The sequence below is a fragment of the Homo sapiens genome, chromosome 21 (genome assembly GCF_000001405.40).
Source record: "Homo sapiens chromosome 21, GRCh38.p14 Primary Assembly".
Taxonomy (NCBI): domain Eukaryota; kingdom Metazoa; phylum Chordata; class Mammalia; order Primates; family Hominidae; genus Homo; species Homo sapiens.
In genome coordinates this window covers 14,990,545-15,006,492 of record NC_000021.9, presented here as the reverse complement: position 1 = coordinate 15,006,492, position 15,948 = coordinate 14,990,545, and the positions used below count along the sequence as shown (strand labels likewise).

At 36.3% G+C, this 15,948-nt stretch overlaps 1 protein-coding gene across 21 annotated transcripts in view, besides 1 other annotated feature; it reads left to right on the top strand.

Annotated features, from left to right (window-relative positions):
- Positions 1 to 15,948, top strand: part of NRIP1 (nuclear receptor interacting protein 1) — a 104,702-nt gene that overhangs the window by 59,444 nt on the left and 29,310 nt on the right. For 7 of the 21 annotated variants that reach the window (NM_001439276.1, NM_001439275.1, NM_001439277.1 and 4 more), the window contains one exon: positions 15,187 to 15,292. The exons of the other annotated variants lie outside the window; for them this stretch is intronic. The gene's annotated coding sequence lies outside the window, so the exon portion shown is untranslated. The remainder of the gene's footprint in view (positions 1 to 15,186; positions 15,293 to 15,948) is intronic. 21 annotated transcript variants of the gene reach the window in all.
- Positions 539 to 1,474: an enhancer, noted in NCBI's record as "OCT4-NANOG hESC enhancer chr21:16377340-16378275 (GRCh37/hg19 assembly coordinates)". NCBI's record gives its function as "activates a minimal SCP1, AML or CMV promoter by ChIP-STARR-seq in naive and primed H9 embryonic stem cells {active_cell/tissue: H9 hESC(naive and primed)}" and the evidence as "EXISTENCE:reporter gene assay evidence [ECO:0000049][PMID:30033119]".

Sequence of the window (15,948 nt, the reverse complement as noted above, 5' to 3'; positions counted from 1 at the left end):
GTGATTTAAGCATTACAGCTGTTTGTTCCACCAGACTATTTATTTCTTGAAAGCCAGGACTATTTTATTCACCTTTTTCCTTTTGTTGTTCTAGAGTAATGATTTAAACATTTGCCTACTTTAGCTACTAAATTAAATTTTGAGAGCATTGCCAGGGAAGAATCAAACACCCTCTACTGGCATTAATACTTTCTCTTTTGGCCCATGCACTGGTAATGCTAAAACATCAAATGTCATGCTGATGTTTTTATAACAAGACCGAGATTGCTTTACCTTGTTTTACTTGTGTTACTCACTATTCTAATGATTTTTTTTTTCCGTCTTAAGAATGTATTCATCATGTTGGGAATAAGAAATTTAGTAAACATGCTATAATGTAATTTTCCTTACCTGTAATTTTAGTAAGCTATATGCAGTATGCGTGAAGTTTGTGACTTAACCAACTAAAACCATGTATTTTTTTTTAAAAATGAAAATTCTAGAGATAAATATTGATGGAAATATTTTTTAGTCTTAACCTGTGACTGTGCTACAAATCTGAAAGATACAAATAGAGCTTTAAGTTTTACATTCACTACACTGAAATATAGTCAAGAAAGAATTCGACCTGAATTCTTTAATAAGCACAATGGAAGGGTTGTTTACTTTTGAGAACTAATAACTGCCCCATTCTTTGTGATTGTCTGCTTACATAATTTGTTATAAAAGAATGCTTCTAGGTAAACCCTCTCTCCAGAATGCTGGTGGTTTGTTCTATTCTGCTTGGGAAGGGTTAAGAGGAGACAACATCCTGTCAAAGACCTTGTTTTTAATTTTGCTTCTCACACTGGCACAGATCCTGCTAAGAGCAGCCCAGATTAGTTCGGAAAACCTTTGAAGAGATTTAAGATGTCCTTCAGCCAGTTTGAAGGTTTTTGTCTTGCAAATCCAGTACAAGGGCGCCTGCAGGCATCTCGACCCTTGCTGTGCTGCTGATGCAGCTCAAGGTCACACTAACCCGCCCTGTGACATTCAACAACAACAAAAAAATTATGCGGTGAAACTGCCTCAGCGTTCAACCAACCAACAACTTCCTTTAGTGAGGAACTGAGGAAGAAGACTTTTTTACCCCCCTTTTTCTTCTTTGGGGGGCTCTGTGAATTTTTGCTGTAGGAAATAATCCCGGATTTCTGGTGTGTGTGATGACAAGGTCATCTCTTAATTAGAACACATGTAAAGAACAAAGCTAAATGGCTTCAAAACAGCTTTGTAGTTGATGGAGAGGATTTAAATTATTTAAAGAGATAGTCACCCATGTATGATGGAAGCTGAATTCTAAAGGCATTAACTCCTTCATTCCTATCTATTTGTCATTGCTTTGAATTCCTTATGTCTGACTTTAGAGGGTTGCATTCTAAACTTAAGAGAATTTATAAATGCCCAGTTTTTAAATGATGAAATATAATTTATAAATCAAATTCTCAGATAAACTTTTCATGGAGAAGTTTTCTCCCCATGACATCTATCTCCTAGAAACATTATCACATGGCTGGACTTAGGAACTAGGAGTTACACACTTTTCCCTCTGGCAACTGTGATTTATTTATAATGTGTTGGAGGTGGGTGAGTAAAGTGCTTCTTTATTGCCTCACCTTCTCTCTTCCTCACTTTTATCCATTTGTGATTTAGAAGTCTAGTTAAGCAATTTTCTCCTGCCTCTTTAGAAATAACAGCACGTATCATTCAGGTTTCTCAACTTTCAAAGAACTGATGTAGGAAGACCATCTTTTTTCTATGGAAAAAAAATTAATCTTAGTTAAAAATGGACTTTAAGAAAGTTGTTTCTGAACATGCATGACATTTTAAGGCACAATGAAACCATGTCCATGAACACTCGGTAGCCATATTGGATCTGCTCCCCTTGGTGGGGCTTGTTTCCCCATGTTCCTCCTTCACTGCCTGCGAATGTTAACTACCAAATAAATTAGTTGGACAAAGTCCAAGTGCATTGGCTTTCTGTGCTTGAGACTTAATGTATATCACCTCTGCAGGATTGGAGCAGAACAATCTAAGAGAGTAATTTTGTGGTTGATATTTTCTTTATGTGTATTATGTATAGAAGCACACATGGCAGTTATTTTTTTATCCACAAAATGACATTGTGTAGAGAAAGTTACCTTCAACATTATGATATTAGCAAAGCAGTTTTCTCAGAATTTATACCCAGTTGCTTTTTGACTGAAGTAGAATCAGGACAAGTACAATATTTTAAGTGTGATGATTTAAACTGATATTTTGGATTTTGTGGGCGACACTTAAGAAATTTGTTTGAGGGGATAACATGTTGGACTGTGTGAAAACAAGTTAGAATGAACTAGACTTATTATTCTGAAGGATTTTTCTCCTATTGAGAAACAATTTTGGGGGTCCATGAAATGAAAAGGTGTGTATATTAAGATACATATTTTTAGGTATGGGTATTTTAAAGATCTCAGGTTTGCAAAAAGAAAATATTGGAGGGGAAATCTATATGTGAGGAAATGGTTAGTGTGATTCATTGCATCCTGCCCTTGCCTGGAGTCTGGTGTGCCCTAAATGTCATGTATGACCCAAGCTCACCTGCTAGTAATTTCTAATTTACTGTCCTAATTCATCGATTTGTTATCACTAATTGTTCTTCATTTACTTCTGTGTAGTTTCCAGTACCTAAAGGGTTGAAAGGTTGCTGTAATTGGCACCCGCAGCTGCTCTTTCTTTTGACAGGGGATAATTTTGCAGCCTATGCTTTGTGTGACAGCTGCCTAATTGGGCATTCTCCCCTTGTAGCAAGCCTGCCTCCTCCAGCCTCCCTGCTGACAAATGGTGGTGGATTATAGATGAGGACACGCTGACCCGTTCGACCTTGCTGAGACAGCGGGGAGGGGCCTCCTGCTACTTGAGGGAAGCTTTAGGTCATTTAGAGGACAAGGTCATGAGCCAGGTGGAGAAATGACATGATATAAGATGACAGTAGCCTGATGACATGGTCAGTGTGTCAAGGACAAATGCATCAGTATCGATTAAACATTATTGCAATACTTCATTGAGTCCCTAGTATTTCTTAATTGTTCCTACTGATTTTTTTTAAGAAATAGAAAAAGTGCAAAATGAGACACATGTATTTTAGCAGTGTTAAAGCAGTTGTTTACATGAAAACAGAACGGCTTAGGATGCCTCCTAATAAGTTTCTTCAGTTATTTTGAGTATTTTGTTCTTAATTTTTGCCTAGTTTGCAGCCCCTTAACTATCAATACTTTTCAAGAGTTATTTGAAAATTAAGGCAGGCAAATTAAAATGTGGCAATGTATGTTGTTAAAAAATATTTAACAACTTCTGTCATTCGCCTACTCAATGACTGGCATACCTTTTCATATTTTGAATAAAAGAAAAATAAGCCAAGTGAAAATGTCTAATTGAAAAGAACACCAGAACTCTAGATTTATAAGATTAACCATACCACCGTGATGCCATAATTATGAAGTGTTAAAGGTGCTTTTTAAATAATTGTTGAGACCTGAAAATATTTTTCAAATAGCTTGGGATTATTCATAATGTAAATACTTCAAGATACATGAAAATCTTTTGTATGTCTTATTACTGGTAATGCACATACTTTTCTTGGTAAAGTAGACTTGAGCTATTACAATATATTTTTAAGTGTAAAATCTGAAGAATCCATGCAGAGTCTATTAACCCTATGTTAATACCTGAAATGATAAATTCATGTAAAACTGCGCTGGATAGTACAATTAAGAAAAATGCCTAGTTTTAAAAATGGTTAACAGTTGAGTACAAAGAAGACTGATCATGATTCTCGTTTCTGGAAAAACAATTGTTGGGCACTGTTGAATCTAAGTCCTCAGTTCAACAGGAGGTAATTTTATGCCCCTGAGATTAAAAAAACGAGGCATGGTAAAGTGTGATGAATTAGTTCACCGAAGTAGACACATCTGTATTTTCATGGCACGTGTGTGTGCGTGGGTGCGTGTGTGTGTGTGTGTTTAATTTTGACCATGCTGTGCATGTGTTTAGCTGCTCTCAAACCCTGACTCAAGCTTGGTGGAGGTTTAATCCTGTGCCCTTGTACACGTATACTTGATTAGTAGTTGTGGTTATCTCAGCAGAAGACATACCGCCCTCCTCCTTGTATTGGTCGGGACCTGGGCATTAGGGAGTCAAGGCAAAGGAGAAAGAAAAGAGATTTTACATTAGTATTCTATGAAAGCCTTACGGTCTGCAGAACAAATTGATTACTCCGGTGTACCTGTGCTTGGCACCACTGCTGTGAGAGAAAGGTAGGGCCGTAATCTGTTTTATTGTATTGCATATTGTGACACTCCAGGAATATTCAACATGCGCTCTTTCTAGGGCACGTGCTGTAAGTCTAAGTAAAGAAAAAGGAAATAAATGAATGGAGAGTATGTGAGAGCAATGGGCTACAGCTTTGTTTACTTCAGTCCAAGAGAGTTCATTTGAATAAGATAATTTTACTGAAAGCGTCACCGGGAACATAACCTGATTGATAATGAAACCCTGTAAAGTGTTCTGAGGCACTAAATCTGCTTCCCTGCTTGAAACATGTGAGGCAGAGATGAAATTCAAGCTAGTACTGTAAGATTTTAACCATCAGATGGGAGCAGTCATGGAGGTGGTTATGGACATAGTTTAGAAAATTATTTTAAATTATCTTCAGTACATTATATTCTTAAAGATCCTATATAACATGGTGCAAAGGAAAGAGATTTTCATGAAAAAAAGAAAAGAGGTGGCCACTACACCACCTTGAACTATATTAAGAAATTAAGAAATGTGTTGTTTACTTTATTCTTCTGCTAGCTTGATTTGCATAAACATTATACTGTTTTATTCGGTTGTAGAAAAGGAAATTGCATATTTCTTATAATTTTTTTTAATTCTGTGATTGTTACTCAAATAGAGACTTGTAGTGTACAATTTGGGTTATTTGAGGTTACTTAATATGAAAGGAATAAATGCTTTAAGATTTTATAAAGTGATTAAAATATCTGTGATAGGGATTAGACTCCTGGGCATTTTTAGGCATTCTTAAAATGTGGTCATAGCTGCACTTTTTCGGTTGTGTATAAATCTGTACTGCAAGGGGAGAAAAGAAATTCCTCTTGTCCAAGCCTCTTGCCACATGTGAACTGCAGGTGCCCTTTTCCCTCTTCTGTCCCCATCCTGATCCTTCGATTACAATCAGAACACTTGATTTAGGAGAGAGAGGAAGCAAAATACCTCATACTAATACACTGATGAAATGAAAGTTGTTTCCTATTGTTTACTTTTGTATTCTTGAAACTAGTATATAGCTTTACATTTTTTAGATTACATTTCACTTCCATTTAAATGTGTGAATAAGTGTTCTGTATGTAGTAATTATACATCCTGAAGACATTCCGGAGATCTGTATAATCACAAGCTATAGACATTGGTCTAGACTGGCTTGCAGATACTTTTATAGAAAATGACCAAGTGAAGAAGCATTTTTAAGCACCTGTTAATAATAAATATATCACTCTGTGACATAAAAACATTGATTAAAATGAACTATTTGAGGTCATATTGTCTATAAAGGGGATGTTTTCAAAGAACTTTGGAACTCCCTTACAAAATTCAGACTATTAAATTTTGTTTCAATTGGATATAGGCATCAAAATTATTTGTACTGTATTTTTGTACACCTAGTTTTGTGGGTTTTTCTCTATTGAAAAAACATATCAGAAATTGTAGAGGAAAAGTAAACTATGGAACTAAAAATCAGAATATTTTATTTTTCAGAATTAAACATGTTCTTTAAACTCTTTTTACTTACAGTTTTTGATTTTGTAATTACTTTACAAATTTTGAAGATTTTAGAATCTTTCACTTTCTCAAAAGAAATACATGGCATGCACATGGTTAATAATTAGCCAAGTAAGATGGGGAAGTTAAAATAGGTTACCAAGTAGAGAAAATTGATATTTTCCTTTTTTTTTCTTATTTATTTATTTTTTGATGGAGTGGAAGATTGTTTTAACAGGAAAGGACTATATTTTGTTTACCAAAGTATCCACAGTGCTTAACACTGTACCTGGCATATAATAACTGCTTAATAAACATTTGTTGAACACATGAATAAGGAATCCTCAACCACCTTCCCCTCTCACCCACCCCGATACATTCCTTTCTTCTCTCTTGGCTATTTGTGGTTTCAATCTGTGCAGTGTTCATGGTAGTGAGTTTTTACATGAGTTGCTCTTTTGAAAGTACTCTAGGTATTGAAGAAACAGGAATCTCTCTGAATGGTGTTTATGGAATTGTTTTCCAGTCAGAGTAGTTCAAATGACTGAGTCTTAAAGTGTACTTCTTCCAAATGTGTGCTTTGAGTTCTTCTTCCCTTCAAATTGCCTCTATTCTTTCCCCTCATATGCAGATCTACTGTGTTGTTGAATTTTGTTAAGCTGTGAAATCTAATTCTTAGAGTTTCATCTTGTCAGTTTAGGTACATTATGCTTATTAACCAATATCAACAAATTATTTTAAACATCCAAGAAAATCACCAGTTAATTTTAGTCAGATATATCTAGGTACATTAAACTATAGAGAAAACAAACATTTGACATGTTATTATGGCTATTAATTTAAGCCATGAAATGGAAGACATTCATGAGAACAACTTTATGTGGGTGATACTTCCCTAAGTTCAGTAAATGAGCATGCAGTGTTACTTGGTATCCAGTGTTAGCTAGGCTTGGACTGGAGTTCTTGAGCAGTAGGAACCTTAGGAATTATTATAAAGAGTTCGTTTAACTGATGAGAACACTGGGCTTTAGGCAAGTTCCTACTTAGCCACTGTTATAAAACTGCTTAGGACCTGAGCCAGGGCTAAAACACAAATCATCTAGCTTTTAAAAAAGTGATTTTTTTTTTAACCTGGTATCAACTCTTTGTTCAATTTTATGCTTCTGAAATAATAATTGTTACGTTTATATTAGCCAAATTTTATTCCTGTAGCTGCAGTAAAGTTTATAACCAAATAGAACATAAATCAAAGCAAACTCATACACACAGAATTTTCAATTGCTCCCTATGGATGTGGACTCAGTAGACTTCCATGCCAAGAATGGGTGACAACATATTTAGTATTATGAAGAAAGGTATTAAAATTTGAGAAGAAAACTTTACATAAAATTACAGTGGCCAGGCATAGTGGTTCACCCCTGTAAGCCCAGCAGTTTGGGAGGCCGAGGTAGGAGGATTGCTTGAGCCCAGGAGTTCAAGATCAGTCTGGGCACCATAGTAAGACCCTATCGCTACTAAAAATTAAAAAATTAACTAGCTACTTGGGAGGTTGAGGCGAGAGGATTGCTTGAGCCCAAGAGTTCAAGGTTATGGGGAGCTGTGATTGAATTACTGCACTCCAGCCTGGACAACAGAGCACGAGCCTGCCTCTCTCTCTCTCTTTCTACGAGAGTTCACACTGGAATAAACTTGTGAATACAGTTGACCCTTGGACAATGTGGGGATTAGGAGTCCCAGCCACTGTGCAGTTAAAACATTTGCATATAACTTTTGACTCCCTCAAAACTTAACTACTGATAGCCTACTGTTGACCAGAAGCCTCACCAATAACATTAAAACAGTTGATTGACATGTATTTTATATGTTATAGGTATTATATACTGTATTCTTATGATAAAGTTAGCTAGAGGAAAGATGTCTGAAGAAAACTATAAGGAAGAGAAAATATATTCACTCTTTGCTAAGTGGAAGTAGATCATAATAAAGGTTTTATCCTCATCATCTTCACATTAAGTAGGCTAAGGAGTTGGTGTTGCTGTCTCAGGATTGGCAGAAATGGAAGAAAATTTGCTTATAAGTGGACCCACACGGTGCAAGCCAGCGTTGTTCAAGGGTCAACTGTAGCACATCACAAACACGTTATATAGTCTGTTGACATTTGGTATCTGTGGCAGTGTTTTCTTTAATAATATAGTCATGGCTTTGCAGAGGAAGGCAGCCAATTGAGTCTCTTGCCATGTGGGGACCACCAAGGGGCAATGCTTGCCTCCTTCAGTGATAATTAAATGCTGACTTTTCAAGAAATTCAAGAAATATTCTAATTCAGATTGTTCATGGAGAGATTAGACTCCTGGGATTGGAGCTGTGGTTTGCAGATAGGTCCCAGCGGTACATGTCAGATAAATATTCAGGTTAAAGACTGAGAAGGTCCATCCAAAATTCACATGCCTAGTTCAGGGTGCTGACAGACTTAGCTGTAGGTGGGTCAGGCCTTCAACCACATGGGCTACTCATGACTTGGTTTTATTTCCAGTAGAGAAATGAACAAGGAACTAGAGAAATGATCAGAAAGCCAAATTGACCAAACACAGAGATACTGGAGAAGCTGCTAGACAGTAGCAGTGTGGTTTGGAGACGTGGCTGTCTCATGCTCAAAATTAAGTTTATAAGCTTACAAGTCATAGGGATGGTGGTAAAGTGTTTCTAACCCTTTCCTTCCAATTACTGGAAAATAAATCTCCAGGCCTGGTTCTTTAGTTCAACAGTTGGGCAAAGTGTGCAAGCAAATTATTTCACCTCTTTACACCACAGTTTCCCCATCTGCAAAATGGGGATTATTTTAGTGTCTTCCTCTTTAGGTTATGAGGATTAAATGAGAAGACAAATGTATAATACCTGGAGTATATACAAATTATATATAAATTGTATATATAAATATATTTATGTGTATATATATAAATATAAAAATATATTTTTTCATATATATTCAAGGATAATATAAATGATATATATAATGATTATTTTTGTGGGTTTGTGTGTCTACGTGTAAGATTACCATGTCTTCTACTGACGTATTTTTTTATCCTGCTGTTAATAACAGACGACTTGACTAGGTAACCATAATATGGGAGCTGTATCCAACCATTTATGTCTATTTTTTACCTATTAATTTATTCTCAGTTTTTAACCTAGATAATGGTCTGTCACTTTAGTCATATTTTTTCCTCTCCCAAAGTATATATTCTTTGTCATGATCAGTTATGTGATTTTTATTTGTACCGAATTTATTAAAATATGTATCAAAAACTGCATACTTGTCAGTGATCACCTTTCCACTTAAAAGTATAATATGTCTGAAGGAGCTGTGAATCTCAGTTTAGAATTACAATAAATGATTTGGAAAATGAGAGTTAAGAGCAGAAAAGGTAAAATTTAGTTTGTTTAAATCTTAACTAAACCTTTATCTTTCTTCAAATATCACTCATAGTTTCCTTTTTTCTCCCTTTAATTGTAAAAATTTATTGGCATTTAGAGATTTTTTGTAGATCTGTAGGAGACTGGGGTGATCTGACTTTAAAAGTCTGAATGCCGAATGAAGAGCAGTTAACACAGTGCTTTTCTCAGGAAGGCAGGAAAGGGAGAAATATCCGAAATGCCTTATGATTTGATTTGAGTTTAAGTGAAGTTTTATTTTTTAACTGGATAGTACTTATAATTTTTAATAAAGTGATTTATTTATCTTTATACAAGTGTCTTGAAAATAAGGATTTTTCAAAAATTATATCATGTAAGCATCTTTATTTGGTTTATAATTTAAATAATTATATATATTTATTTATTGTTTTCTTGTGCGTATATTATGCTCCCAGTTGTTTCTGAATATTATGTTAGAAGTGGCCAGGGAGCAACTAAGAGTAATGACGTGCATTTATTATATTTAGCAAAAATTCGGTATCTCAGATGTGCCCATGGTGAACAGAATAAAAGTGGTCCTTGTTCTCATGGAGCAATAGTTATAGTCTAGTGGTGGAAAACAGGACATAAACAAATATTTGAAAAGCAAGGAAAGCAAGCACAAAAAATGACAGAATGAGAGAAGTCCTAAGACAACTGTGATCTCCGAGGTGCTCTGCTAGGGAATAAAATGGGGAGACTGTTTGCCTAAAGTCATTGGGAAAGACGTATCTTAGCGGGTGATATTTAAGCTGAGTTTGGGGAAGGAGGCAAAGGAGGCAGCCATAAGAAAGCCAGAAAGAACTTTCTCAAAAGAGAGAACCACTCACACAGACGCCCAAAGACCGGAGAGCACTGTTGGTGTTCTGGGATCCAGAGAAGTCTGTGTAGCTGGAGAGCTGTACTGTCCAATGAAGAAGCTACGAGCCACAAGCCACATGCAGCTTTCCGGAATGGAGGTAGTCTGTAGGTGTAAAATACACACCAACTTGGAGGAAGGACTTAGTACTACAAAAAGAATGTGAAGTATCTTAAGAATTTTATAGTGATTTCATATTGATACCATGGTATGTTTTGTTAAATAAAATATACTCAAATTAATTTTACTTTTTTTCAACTTTGAAAAAGTGTGGCTACTACAAAATTTAAAGTTGTATTGGTGGCTCCCATTACATTTCTGTTGGACATCGCCTGGCTGGAGCGTAATGAATGAGCAAAGGACTAAATGATGCGAGATAAGGTTGGTCAGATGCACTGGAGCCAGTTGATGCAGAGCCTTCCAAACCATAGAAAGGAATTCAGACTTTATTCTTAAGTGAAATAGAAACTATTATGAGTTTTTAGCCAAGAGATTTACCTTTTACAAAGAGCATTGGCTGTAGTGTGGAAAATGTGTTGGAGGAGGGCCAGTTAGGAAGTGAGTACAGTAATACACACACACACACACACACACGCACACACAGCTAAACCAGTTATCACAACAGTTGTCAGACAAATTTACATTAAAAATAGTCTCTCTAATCACCAGTGAGTTTCTCAGTCTTATTTGACAGAATTTCCTAGGCTATAGTTTTACATATATAAGAATTCTCTTTCTTTCATATTTATGAAATATTAAAATTCTTACAAAATTAAATCTCTCACTCTCCCAGAACACTGTAATTCATGCAAGTTTAACACGACTTTAAAATCATTTATAGCTTTAAAGATTCTGAAGCGTTTTGACAAACCTACATTTCATAATATTTTGTGGTTCAAGTAACTGATGATTTATTGGAAGCTACTGACAATCTCAGATCCCATAGGCCTACATGTGCATTTCTCAGAAGGCCTTGTATCCCAGGTTTAAGAAACCTCCTCATACAGTCCAGCCTGTAATCTTCCCAACTATTCTCTGCAGTAGGACTCCTTCTCCCTCTTTTGTAAATGAAGAAACTGAGACTTAATTAAATGCAAGCTGCCAAGGTTAATACTGGTAAGCAAATGACAGTCTCTAGGCTAAAACTCAGATCTTTGACATATGTCTTGTGATTTCTGCTTATCTAGTTACTCCTTTTATTTAGTATGTATGTGGTTGTCTGTCTGCATGAATGTGAGTTACATTTTCCATTTGTTTTATTTGGATCAGAAGCTGTATTTGCAATACCATCATTTAATGTGTATGAAATTGGAATAATTATTACCCTTTGGGTTTTTATTGTTACTTATACTACTGAGTGATGGCAAAAGGTTTTGGATTTATTTTGTAGTACTGATAAAATACAAGGCAGGTGAGTGTAGGTTTTTGCTTTTACTTCAGAGGGAAAAATAAAATTTGTTTGCTCTAGAATACTTGAACTTGTTGAGTACTTAGAGGATAGCAGACACAATGTTAAGTGCTTTCATTTTTTTTACAGCCCTGTTAAATAGTTAATATTATCCCTAGAATCTCAGAAAAGTTACTGCCTGAACCTAAGATTCAAAGCCTGGCCACCTGACTTTAAGGCTGGTTCTCTTAGCTTCAGTGTGCTGTCTACTTTTTTAAGGTATCTTTGAAATGAAATGTCTTCACAAAATGCCTGTTGTATATCGTTTGCAGTTGACAACAATGTTTTTCACTGTAAAAAGCAAAGTTCATTTGAAATTCCAATGAAAATTTCTATTTTTAAAAAATTGTTTCTTGAGTGAAATTAAAGTTGATCCATGTCATATCACTCAGAAGGCTGATCCTTTTCAGTAAGCTAATAGTTTTATTTTCTCTAGTCAAATGAAAATAATAAAAAAGTTAGATAGCACTCAAGAAAACTCTCTGTATAGCATAAAAATCTTGCAATTTGCATGTAATCCCAGCATTCTGGGAGGCTGAGGTAGGCGGATCACTTGAGGTCAGGCGTTCGAGACCAGCCTGGCCAACATGGCGAAACCTCGTCTCTACTAAAAATACAAAAATTAGCCAGGCATGGTGGTGCACCCCTGTAATCCCAGCTACTCAAGAGTCTGAGGCATGAGAATCACTTGAACTCGGGAGGCGGAGGTTGCAGTGAGCTGAGATCGTACCACTGCACTCCAGCCTGGGCGATAGAGCAAGACTCAGTCTGCGCCCCCACCCCACCCCCAAAAAAATCTTGCAATTTGCCTTTAATGGATGGTTTTATAAACAATAGGATAGAGGAATCAATACGCTTATTGTGACTAAGCAGTGTCATATGATTGAAAGTACCAAGGCATAGTAAAATATATAAATACATGATCCAACTGTAGATGTCAGAATCTGTCAGGAATTGGAAATACCAGATACTTGGTATGAGTATTATACCGAAAATTGTTCAAGATACTTGAGTATAAAAACATTTTCAAAGTAGTAAGTAATACAAAGAAGGAAAAAGGTGAATTAACATTTCTTGAGGACCTCCTGTGTTGGATTGGACGTTGTATATACACTGTCATTTTTTTTTTTGAGACATATCTCTCTCTGTTGCCCAGGCTGGAGCACAGTGGCATGATCTCACCTCACTGCAGCCTCAACTTCCTGGGATCAAGCGATCCTTCCGTGTCAGCCTCCCAAGAAGCTGGGACAACAGGCACGTGCCACCACACCCAGCTATTTTTTTATTTTTATTTTTTTAGAGATGGGGTCTCGCTGTGTTGCCCAGGCTGACGTTGTCATCTTTAATTTTCATAACTGCTCCATTAAATACATTGTTATACATGTTAAACTGAGGCTCAGACACATTTAAGCTGGGGTTACAGAGCAAATGGTTGACCCTCAGTGTTACTGTTTTTAAGGCTCATGGTATCTTTTAGATATGAATATAGAAGGGATATTTGTATAAATGAAGATCTTTCAGAAGTGAACTGTGGAAAATCTGACTCGTACATTTAAATTGTTGAGGTTGACAATTTGTGGATTGGAGTGGTATCTAGTCCTCTGAGTAACCAATACAGTAAAATAGTTTATGAAGTCAAGTATAGGAAGCTTCTCAGCCCTGATTTTTTTTTTTTTTTGGTCATTACTGGTCTCGATTTTAGTTGGTTATGTGTGATCATCTTTTATCTCCAGACTCACCACTGATAACACAAAGGTATAACTACATAGCCATGCAAAATACAAGGTTTCCCTTTGCAATTGTAGAAGTGCCTTTCATGTCAACATTTTTTTGATAATTAAAAACTGATTATTGAACAGGTATTTTAAGGTTTAACCATTTTTATCCCTTCTCTCTCATAAGTTTGCTGAGATTTGACAAGTATCAGCTATCCAATGACCATTTTTTATTATATAGTTAAAAGTAGAGATGCAAGGTAAATTTTTATTTAGTTGTTCTGATATTTAGATTTTAATGTTTGTATGTGTATGTCTTAATCTTACCATTTATTCTTCCACTTTGCTAGTTATGCAGGACTCCACTTAACCCTTTTATTCTGAACATATGGGACAGCCAGTTCTACTTCATAATGTTTATGTTATTGAATAACATTTTTGGAAGAAATGTATTGCCAAATTTAGGGACTTTTTTTTAGTGCACTGTAGATGTTTTTAGCATATTGAAAGAATATTCTTTCTTTCACTTGTGTCACTTCCTAGGAGTATTCCTACAGTATACGTATTTCTGGGGGGCAGTGAGCGGGAGGACATCTTACTTGGTAAATCAGTTTTGCTAATTATTTTGTAGCAAACCCATCTTTATAGTTAGACTTTTTGGGGGGTGAGGGGAATAGTTTAAGTTTTTTATTTTAAAAGCTTGAATAGCATTCTCTTATGTAAACGGAATGTGGACACTTAACTGTTTTCATCAATATGTTATAAACTACAAAACTCACTCAGACTGAATTGGTAAGTTACATTGTTTAAGTGATATCCTTGCTTCTGTGGTTTATTTCAGATGTAGACTCTGCAGGGGTTGGTGGCTCACACCGATAATCCCAGCACTTTGGGAGGCCTGGTCGGGGGATCACTTGAGTCCGGGAGTTCTAGACCAACCTGGGCAACATTTCGAAACCCCGTCTCTATAAACAAACAAACAAACATGTAAAATTAGCCAAGCATGGTGGCACGCAACTATAGTCCCCGTCTATTCCGGAGGCTGAGGTGGGAGGATTGCTTGAGCCCAGGAGTTTCAGGCTGCAGTGAGTCATGGTCACACCACCACACTCAGGCCTGGGCAACAGAGTGAGACCTGTCTGAAAGCATACAAAACAAAACAAGACTGACTTCCTTTGGGCTGTGTACAATATTTAGAATAGAGGAGAAAATGTTGGTCAGAGAAAGGGGAAAAGGAAAAAAAAGATGAAAGGAACGCAGCTTTTTAATTCTGGATGAGGTTTCTTGCTATCTCAGATGTAAATAGACAACATTTTTAGTCATCTTCCAATTTAATATTAGGAAGTCTTTTGACAAATCTTTATCATATGCCTGGGTGTTAATAATATTGTGGGGAAAATGAATGGAACAGTGACCTTGCTTCCTTTTATTTCTTCCTTTCTATACAAGAGTATTTTATTCCATTTACTTTTTGAAAATTTGACATTATTTATGCAAATAATTTTATTTCCTTTTTATGGCCATGATATTCTCTAAAACTCAATGGCAAAAATTCTGGAGTGACACTTACAAGTCTCCCTTTTTGTGGGTAATAGGGGAGGTGAAATAAGGCATCTTATTCTGTCAGGAGTGGAAATGCATGCTTCTGCCTGAAAGGAACATCAGTCCTACAAGATAGAGCAGAGGAAGAAAGGCAGAGTCATCATGTTTAGCTGAACTAACAACATTCTCAAAAAGGCCTTTAAAATAAGGAGGTAAAATAACTGAAGCCCAGGAAAATGCAGTAGAATCTCAAAGAGGATCTTGTTGAGCTTTCTTTTTTTAAATGAATAGAGTGAGGCACAAAGAGAAAATAACACCTAGAACATTTTTTCTTCTCCTTTATCTCGTAGCCCCAGAGTTCCAAAAGTTGGTTTGCATGGACAGATTCAGAGCAGTCCCACAGAGCCCAGGTCCTGTTAATAAGAAGAGGCATGTTACATGATACGCACAAAGAAAGTAAGTGAGAAGTAGTTAGAACTACAGCAGTGGAATCTTTTGCCTCTTTTTCTTAGCCATCACACCATGGAATAATTGTTGTTCCTGACTCCTTCCTTTAGGCAATTGTTGTCAAGACATTTTGGGCCAGGGCTGTAATCTAGGACCAGGAGCCATCAGAGTTTATTTAAGAAGAAGTAGAGACATGCGGCAACCTAATAGTTGACAGCAGCAAATGAAACGAGAAGCACGTAGAGCCCTTAGGTACAACTGGCCTTACCTGACCTAGGGTAACCCTTCTTCCCACTCAACTTCACTAATGAACTTTGCAGGCAGTGTGATGGCTACTTATTATTAGATGCTATGTCCATTTATTATTATAAATACAGGCATATGATGCTAGAAATGATAGAAGTTAGCTGTATCAGGGTCCCTTTATCTAATATTTTGCCATCTAGCCCTCTGAGGGAGAACCATCTGGTCTTTGTTTGCTGGCCAACTTCAACATAACCATCCACCCAGTCTTTGCATTAGAGTTTCACTTTAGGAATTCATTTTCCATGTCTGTTCACACATATAGCTTGAACACCAGCATCTCTTTTAAGATTTCATTACCTCTTGGCTGTTTCTTACTGTTGCCCTCTGGCTCTTACCTTCTTCTAGTTAATAGTCATAGT